General features: G+C 46.4%; 1 long non-coding RNA gene across 2 annotated transcripts, besides 2 other annotated features; it reads left to right on the forward strand.

Moving 5' to 3' along the window:
* Positions 1-224: 224 nt before the first annotated feature.
* On the forward strand, positions 225-6,589 carry LINC01018 (long intergenic non-protein coding RNA 1018). 2 transcript variants are annotated; one of them, NR_024423.2, is made up of 5 exons: positions 225-355; positions 509-690; positions 1,692-1,890; positions 3,863-4,116; positions 4,317-6,589. It is a non-coding gene; the product is annotated as a long intergenic non-protein coding RNA 1018 (long non-coding RNA). The 2 variants fall into 2 exon arrangements; NR_024424.2 differs by lacking the exons at positions 225-355; positions 509-690 and having other exon boundaries at positions 1,365-1,890.
* Positions 1,307-1,356: a silencer, noted in NCBI's record as "silent region_15898". NCBI's record gives its function as "represses an Ori minimal core promoter by ATAC-STARR-seq in GM12878 lymphoblastoid cells {active_cell/tissue: GM12878}" and the evidence as "EXISTENCE:reporter gene assay evidence [ECO:0000049][PMID:35858748]".
* Positions 1,404-1,565: a silencer, noted in NCBI's record as "fragment chr5:6583428-6583589 (GRCh37/hg19 assembly coordinates)". NCBI's record gives its function as "represses an EF-1alpha promoter that drives an FKBP-Casp9 reporter gene in an ReSE screen in K562 erythroleukemia cells {active_cell/tissue: K562}" and the evidence as "EXISTENCE:reporter gene assay evidence [ECO:0000049][PMID:32094911]".
* Positions 6,590-9,153: the final 2,564 nt, after the last annotated feature.

Here is a 9,153-nt window from a genome sequence, read left to right on the forward strand (position 1 = left end):
CTGGGGAACCAGGAAAAGAGCTGAAGAGTAGCTTCTGCTTTATAATGTTCACATTCCATTTCTAGTTGAAATTCAGTTGATTTTTAAATAATGCATCGCCTTAGATTGTGGGTTTTGGCAGGAATTTCAAGATACAGATAAAATTCCAGAGAGTAAAAAAGAGAAACACGTTTACTGCCAATTCCTTTTGAGGGGAATAGAAAAACATATTTTTGAATAAGCTCATCCTGGGTTCAGCTTCCCCTGTGAGAAGGACACATATAACAATAAGAAATTAAGGGTTCGGGAAGGAGAGGGGCCACCCTGTGCTCACCCCCACACAGCCCTGCAGGAAAACCCAGTGAACGGTGCCCAGGTGCCTGGCTGACTCCTGGGCCGGGAGGGGACATGGAGGGACAGTGGCCATCAGGCTCTTTGTGGACACTGGGGATTAACTACTGCTCGTTCTCAGCTCACTGGTGTCCAGCCCATCAATAACCTCATCAATAACCTAACTTTGGTCAATTAGGTTGGAGTCCGAAGGTGACTGATTTGCGGCAAGGTTTTCTCTCTTCCTCTGTAAAGTGGAGTCCTTCATCATTCATCGCAAGTAGACAACTCGCTTCCTAATGCCTCTGCATTAAGGAGCCAGGCGCTGCAGCTCTTTGGTACGTGACCTCAAATAGATTCATGCGTCCTTCTGCTGACACGGTGAGTACCTCCTGGAGTCCAGGACTCAGAGCATGGACACACCCTAACTCCAGCTAGGGGAGGGCGAAGCCACCTGCACCTGGGAGGCTGGCGCTGCCTAAGCGGGTCAGGCAAGTCCTCGCCTTGGAGGGGAGAGTCCTTAGTGATTTTCCCTGGCTCTGCTCCCACCGACGAGACGGACTCAGGAGGGGCGAACGGTATGTGGGGCGGGGACGCTTTGTTCAGATGGCGTCATCAACCCCAGGTCCGTCTGGTCTTTTTTATTCACTGCATATTAAGGTGCGTGCGGCCTGTGGCTGGTCCCTGTCCTGCACACCTGTATGGCCTGGACTAGGCCTGAGCGCCTCAAGGGCCGAGCTGGGTCCTCCCCACCCGCCGGATTCCCCAGCGCCCAGGCTGTCTCCAAAGAATCCCCCCGAGAGCAGGTCCCCGCTTCTCGGGCGTCGGGGCTCGCCGCAGTCACGCTGCACACCCTCCCGGCCTAGGGCGGCGCCGGCCCGGGACTCGCGTGTCTCCCCGCGGCGCCGCGCAGGACCCGGGCCTCGGAGCCCGGCAGCATCCCCTGCTGGCCGCTGGGCTGAGGAGCCGCGGGAGGCGGGGAACGCGGGGCCGCGGGGGCTGGGCGGGCCGGAGTGCGCGGTAGAGGGGGCGGCGCGGCCGGGGTGCGCGGTAGAGGGGGCGGAGCGGCCGGGGTGCGCGGTAAAGATGGGGCGGCGCGGCCGGGGCTCGCCAGCACCAGCCCTGGAACCCCATGGGGGACCTCGACAACAGCGCCTTTGCGGCGTGGGCCCCTTTCTGCAGCTCCTCCACCCGCGCGCTGTCGGCTCCGGGACACTGGGGCTTTGAAGGGCGCCAGTTCCCAGCCGCACCTGCACGCCTAGGAGGGCGCAGGCCGCGTGTCCCTGTGGGAGGAAGGCCCCGGCAACCTGCAAAGACCTCACGTCACAGAAACTTGCGGCGTTTGCCCCCGATGCGCGCGTCAGGTGCTCCGTCCCTTCCAGGTGGCAGAGGAGAGGGAAGGGTCGCGCCTGGTGGGGGCCTGAGAGCCACCGGGCTGCGGTGCGCGAGTGTGGACACCGCCCCGCCTTCTGCGTCTACAGCCCTGGGTTCTGGGACCTTTGGAAACCGCTTTGGACGAAGCTGAGCATCTCTTTCCCCACGCTGACCTCCCCCATAGACTCCGGATGGGAGTAAATGAGGGTAAGGGTGCCGTCACCGCAGGAGGTGGATTTTCTATGCTCCACAAGGCAAAAAATCTGTTAATTTTCTGCAGTTTATGTTATTTTTTCTAAGTTTGTAGTTTCCTCTTCCAAACGTAGAATTTATATTCATAGAACTAGAATTTATATTCTTAATGCAGAATTTATACTCATAATGCTAAATACATATGCTTTTAAACTCTACCCCCTAATAAAAGCACGAGGCAGTCTCTCCCCTGAGGAATTCGACCCCGCCGCACAGCCCCCACTCCGAGGTCACATCGCAGCTGAAAATTTCAGCAGGGAGTGAGGGACTTGTCTTTCCATGATATCATTGGATGTTACCTAACACATATACATATACATCACATATGTCATATGTGATATAGTATGCCCATGATACATGACATATTGATTTGAGAATTAGTTTGACTACCCAGGGAGCCACTCCAGGGCAAGGCCTGTATTTAAGGATGTGGCCAGTATCCAGACTGTGTGTGCTGCAGGGGAGGGCTGTGGTAGACTAGAGGGAAGGACCGAGGGAGGGAAGAAGGGGAAAAGGAAGAGGCAGGGAGTTTTTCCACGAAGCTGTTTCCCTGCAGTTCCCCTTGGTTGGTGAGCCCTGGGGGGCCATGGCCGGTTCCCCGGAACATGCTCGGTCGGCTTCTTCTCTCCAGGCCCAGTCCTCTCTGTGTTCTCCCTGGAAGGGGAAGATGAGAAGATGAGCTGGGGCTTTAATTTTTTCCTAATTATCAAATCTTTAGTCCAAACCACTCTGCCCAGCCTTGGTGATGGGAAGGCCAAGGGTATGGCAACAGTGAGTGTCTCTGTTTCCAGGTTGCAGTGAGGACCTGGAAGGTCAAGAGACAAGGTAGCCCAGCACCTGGCCCTCATGGTATGCAATTTCTGCTTCGGGATGATGAAAAAAAAAAAAATCCCGGGCTCAGTTCCTTCTTGAGGTGCTGGGCTCATAGCTAACCTTGTCTTTTCCCCTCACTGCCGTCACCCAGCCTCCTGTGAACAAAGCATCACAACAGTCAGCATCACAAACCCCCATCAGCCCCGTGCAGTTGCAGTTGTGCTGGACCAGAGCCCATCAGCCTGGCCTTCGGGCTCTCCTCCACAGCGCCCCACCCAGCTGCTCAGGATGGCCATGACCATCTTCCATCTGACGCTGTGTGCTCCCTGCACCTGGCCCCAGGATGCGTGCAATGGGCTAAACTGTGTCCCTCTTGAAATGCATGTGCTGAAGTCCTAATCCTAAGTACCTCAGAATGGGAGCTTATGTGGAGGGAGGGTCTTTACCAAGTTAAATCGAGTTATCAGGGTGAGGCATCAGCCCATATGACTGGTGTCCCTACAGAAAAAGGGAAATGTGGCGACAGACACACACACACACACAAGGAGAACACAGTGTGACCATGAACATGGTCATGGACAAGCCAAGGAGAGAGGCCTGGAACCTGTCCTCCCCACACAGCCCTCAGAGATGACCAGCCCTGCCCACACCTTGACTTTGGACTTCCCACCTCCGGAACAGAGAAACAATCCATCTCGGTTGTTCAAGCCTCTAATTTGTGCTGCTTTGTGATGGCAGCCCCAGGAAACTGAAACAATTCGCTAGCAGGCAATGAAAAGGGCAGGCCCCCCAGCCCAGGCCAGCTTCAAAGTGAGTCATCTTCCCCTCTCCTTTCCTGAGAGGCAGCCACCTTCGCCTGCTGCCCCAGCACACACCAGACACCGTGCCCAAACACTGGCCAGTCCCCAAAGGGCATGAGAGAAAAGTCATCCATCCCTGAAATTCACAGGGAAGGCAACCACGTGGCACCCACTTCTCTTAGGAGCATCCTGAAAGAGGGTGCAATTAAGCCAGTTCAATTTGGAATTGCTTAAAAATGTGGATTTAAAGCAGAATGTAAAAAGGAATGATTTCCAACAGTGCTAGTGAGGTTTTATTTTTTTACTTTTTACAGCTCCTGGGAAATCCAGAAACTCTAGAGAAGCTTGTTTGCCAAACCTTGCTTTGGGCGGTGGAGACAGAATATCATGTCCCAGATCAGCGTGTGGTGACTGTGGAGGCATTTACACACAGCACACTCCAGCTCTGCCACTGGGCCGGCTGAGGTGGCTGCGGTACACGGCGCCCATCCTGAGCCCCAGGTTCCTCACATGTCAACAGCATGAAAAGTGCCTCTAAGACATCCACAGGTGTGCAGTGTTAAAGCAGGTGAGTGTCCTAGTGTAGACTTAGCGGAGTGGGGCTAGGGCTGCGGGTAGTGGGTGTTCCGCCCCCGGCTTGCTACCCAGTCCTCCCTGTCCCTCAGATCTGGCCCCAACCCTCAGGCAGACCCGTGTCTTCTCTTCCACCCCCTCCCTCCTCCTCCCTGGCACTCAGCCTTGCTCTTCTACTCTACCCTCCCTCCCCAGGCAGCGCCTCAGCTTGGTTAGCTCCCTTAAGGACTGCGGCTCCCTTAGGACAAGGCTCTGTCCCTCAGAGCACTGAGTGCGATCTCATGCTGGCATCTTAGAGACATTGTATTCACCAGGTAAGATGGATTCACATCTGCTGGGTGCACGAACACTTCCTCCTTCCTTGCCACCAGCCAGCATCACAACCAGCCTGGCCAGGCTCCCGTCCCAGCCCAGCCTAGCAGCTAACCCCAGCTCCATCCCCCAGCAAGCCCCTCTGCCTGCACCTCAGCTTCTTCATGGAAGACGAGTCAGGTCATGATGCCACCAGGGAGCGTGTTTCCATGTTGAACTGAGACACTAAGCCCTTGACAAATGTTGGCCAAGAAAAAAAAGGGGCTCCAAGAGGGGAGCTGTGGCTCAGGTAGAAGACGGTGAATGAGCATTGCCTGAATCAGAGTTAGCTACTCTGGTTACACAGGTGTCCCCGGCAGGTTGGTCAAAAGCCCTTCCCTGAGTCCCGTGATAAGTGTGGGGAGGGAGGCAAATCAAAGACCCCTACACACCTCCTGCATGGATGGCCAGAGCGCTGGTCCCACCTCCTTCCTTCCAAACTGCAACCCCGATCAGCACAGCAGAGAAGTCTCCTGTGGCAGGGACCAGTAATTCAGTGCTTCCCCTGGAGAGTCTGGGATTGCACAGAACACCAGAGGCTGGGGATTTATTTGTTCACCAACATTCATTCAACAAACACTTACTGAGGCCAACACTGGGAATGGAGACGAACTTCCCTGTCCTCATGGAGCTTGCTTTCAAAAGGGAAGGAGGCAGACAGTAAACAAAACAAGCAAGTCAATATACAGCATGATGCAGAAAAGGTGTGATGCCACCCTCTTGCCTGAGTTTATAACAAGCAGATGATGTTGTCCTAAGAATTAATTTCAGCCGGTGAAAGAGTACAGGCAAAAAACGTGGTCTCGGACTTTCCGGTGATGCTTAAGAACATAGTTGCAGTTTTTGTTCTGATTCTTTGTGCATCTCGCGCTAATGAAGGATTCTGCCATGATTGCCACCTCTGGAGACGTCACAGCCAGCACAGCCATGACCAGGGATGAACTTGGCCATTGTCCAGCAGCACCATGGGAGGACCAGCTGCTGTAAGTGAAGGTCATCATCCATCTGATTTGCTGGCTTTTTGCAACTACTGCGGTGGAAGTCTTAGAGTAGCCACCTTCTCTGTACTCAGACCTTCACTTCGCCAGATGTCAGCACAGCAGTGTCAGCAGCTTCGTCAAACACAAACACCACCACCTCTCTGGATCAGAAGCACATGGAAAGCCCACCTTGCAAGAAGACCCAGCTATTCCAAAAGTACCCATATCCCTGTAGCATCCTCTTAGCTGAATGTCTCTACTCCTTAAACTTGTACCACTTTGAAGAGTAAAAATTTAAATTCATTCATATTATCATTTTTTAGTTTTTAGTATAAGTGGAGCTGTTTATCGGCCATTTGTATGTCCTTTTCTTTTTTTTGCAAATTACTCCTTTGCCAAATTTTCTCTCAAATGACTCATCTTTTTCTTATTGATTTGCAGAAGCTATTTACATATTATGGATGTGGGGTGTCTAACATACACAGCAAATACTTTGTCCCAGTGTGTCACTTTTTAAAAAAATTCTTATAATGTCTTTCATCTTTAAAAAATTATTAAGCTATTGTGAGCTTTTATGCCTTTTCAGTTTATTTTCTTACATAGATAATTATATGAAGTGCAAATAGGGGCAGTGTTAGTCTCATCTTCCCAAGGCTGCACCTCAGATGTGGAATGTTGACAGCAACATCTGTTACCTTGTTTCTGTTTTTAGGATTTTAGCGTTAAGGCCAGGCATAATGGTTCATGCCTGTAATTCCAGCACTTTGGGAGGCCGAGGTGGGCAGATCACTTGAAGCCAGGAGTTCAAGACCAGCCTGGCCAACATGGAGAAACCCTCTCTATTTTTAAATACATTTAAAATGTTAACAATTAAAACAAAATATTTTACCGTTAGTATGATGCTTGATACAGGATTTCTGGTACATACGCCTTATCAAATTAAATAAGTTTCCTTTTACTCTTGTTTATTGTTATTTTTTAAAATAAGGAATGAATCTTGGATTTTAGTGTATCAATAATTATATTTTATTCTTTAACTTCATAATATTCCTTATAATTCCTTATGTCATATTAAAGATGTAAATTCATATATATTTTATCATACAAATGATTAATAAATGTATAAGCATGTCATTATATGAGAGTATACTTCCTTATGTTTCATGAATGCATCGTGACAGGCTCATTTTTTTAATCACTGCTCGATTTGTGCCACTGATGTTTTATGAGGCCTATTTATGTCGGCGATGGTAAGAGTGTTAGTGTTTCCTCTGTGGGTACCTTCATCTACCGTGAGTCTCCTGGATATGCTAGCATCACAGAATGGCAGGCGGAAATTTCCAGCTTTTTCTATAGAATGAGTTTAACACAGAAAATAGATCTTTCTTGAAAATGTGGTAACACTTACCTGGAAACCTCCCTGGCCTAGTGCCTCTTTTCTTGGGGCTAAAGGGTATGAAAATGGGTAGATCTCCAAATGCCTTTTCCATTTTTCTATGAATATTATTCCTACTCAGGCTTTTCTCTTCTTGGAACAATGCTGCTAACTTGTGCCTACTTGGCTATTTCTACTTCATGTATATTTTCAAATCCATTGGTGTGCAAGTGGACTTAGTATGTTCTTGCAAGCGTAAGAGTCTCCATTAGTGTAATGACCTTCTCTCTTTCTGTTTTCCTTGAGCAATTAACATATATTTGTCTTATTTTATTGGTCTTCTCAAAAGAATATGCTTTTGAGTTATTGATCACCTGTACCATGTGTTCTATCACACTATTCTGTGTTTACTCAAGCTCGTTAATTGATATTCAAATCCCTGTATTTTGTCAATTTCTGTTAGATGCTAGTATTAAAAATTTTTTATATAACCGTAGATTTGTCTATTTCTTATTATATTGGTAACAGTTTTTGCTTTACCCAATATTTTGTTCTAATGTGCTTTTTTAAGTTCTTTTTGAATTATTTAGTATTTTTTGTTTATTGTTGTAAGGTGCTTTTTTAAGTTCTTTTTGAATTATTTAGTATTTTTTGGTTATTGTTGTAAGGTGCTTGTTTAAGCTCTTTTTGAATTATTTTGTATTTGTGGTGATTGTTGTAAGGTGCTTGTTTAAGTTCTTTTTGAATTATTTTGCATTTTGGTTATTGTTGTAAGGTGCTTGTTTAAGTTCTTTTTGAATTATTTTGTATTTGTGGTGATTGTTATAAGGTGCTTAAATTCTTCTTGAATTATTTTTTATTTTTGATTATTTCTGTAAGGTGCTTTTTTAAGTTCTTTTTGAATTATTTTGTATTTTTTGGTTATTGTTGTAAGGTGCTTTTATATGTCCTTTTTGAATTATTTTGTATTTGTGGTGATTGTTGTAAGGTGCTTTTTTAAGTTCTTTTTGAATTATTTTGTATTTTTTGGTTATTGTTGTAAGGTGCTTTTATATGTCCTTTTTGAATTATTTTGTATCTGTGGTGATTGTTGTAAGGTGCTTGTTTAAGTTCTTTTTGAATTATTTGGTATTTGTGGTGGTTCTTGTAAGGTGCTTGTTTAAGTTCTTTTTGAATTATTTTGTATCTGTGGTGGTTCTTGTAAGGTGCTTGTTTAAGTTCTTTTTGAATTATTTTGTATTTGTGGTGATTGTTGTAAGGTGCTTAAGTTCTTTTTGAATTATTTTGTGTTTGTGGTGATTGTTGTATGGTGCTTGTTTAAGTTCTTTTTGAATTATTTGCTGTTTGTGGTGATTGTTGGAAGGTGCTTAAGTTCTTTTTGAATTATTTTGTGTTTGTGGTGATTGTCACAAGGTGCTTATTTAAGTTCTTTTTGAATTATTTTGTGTTTGTGGTGATTGTTGCAAGGTGCTTATTTCTTTTTGAATTATTTTGTGTTTGTGGTGATTGTTGTATGGTGCTTGTTTAAGTTCTTTCTGAATTATTTTGTATTTGTGGTGGTGGTTGTAAGGTGCTTAAGTTCTTTTTGAATTATTTTGTGTTTGTGGTGATTGTTGTAAGGTGCTTTAAGATTAAGTGCTGTCATGTGTTCTTGACAGGTTATTCCTTTTATAAATATCAAATGTAGAAAGTTTCCCTGTTCCCCTATTTTCTGTGTCTTGCCATGAACTGTGTTTTTTTGATATATTGACATACCTAATACCTATCATAATTTAAAACACACATACTCCTTGACCAATAAATACGACTCCTAGGAATTTATTCTAACGCACACACGTGTGCAATATTTGAAATGAAAGGTACAGCGTTATCATTGCAGGCTTTGTAGGTAATAACAAAGGATTGGAAGTAATCCACATATGTATTCACAGGGGTCTGGATAAACAAGGGACCCTCTGCCACTCTGGAAAGAATGACCTCCTTATGTACTGATAGGAAATGATCTGTCAGACCTGTGATTAAACAAAAACAAATCCTAGGAACAAAACATTCTGAATAGATGTCAATATTTGTGTAACACGGCTGGGCAAGGTGGCTCATGCCTATATCAGCACTTTGGGAGGCCAATGCAGGCAGATCATTTGAGGTCAGGAGTTTGAGAGCAGACTGGCCAACATGGTGAAACCCCATGTCTATGAAAAATACAAAAATTAGCTGGGTGTGGTGGTGCATACCTGTAATCCCAGTTACTGGGGAGGCTGAGGCAGGATAATCACTTGAACTTGGGAGGTGGAGGTTGCAGTGAGCCAAGATCATGCCACTGCAC

Source organism: Homo sapiens, chromosome 5 (assembly GCF_000001405.40).
Source record: "Homo sapiens chromosome 5, GRCh38.p14 Primary Assembly".
Lineage (NCBI taxonomy): Eukaryota > Metazoa > Chordata > Mammalia > Primates > Hominidae > Homo > Homo sapiens.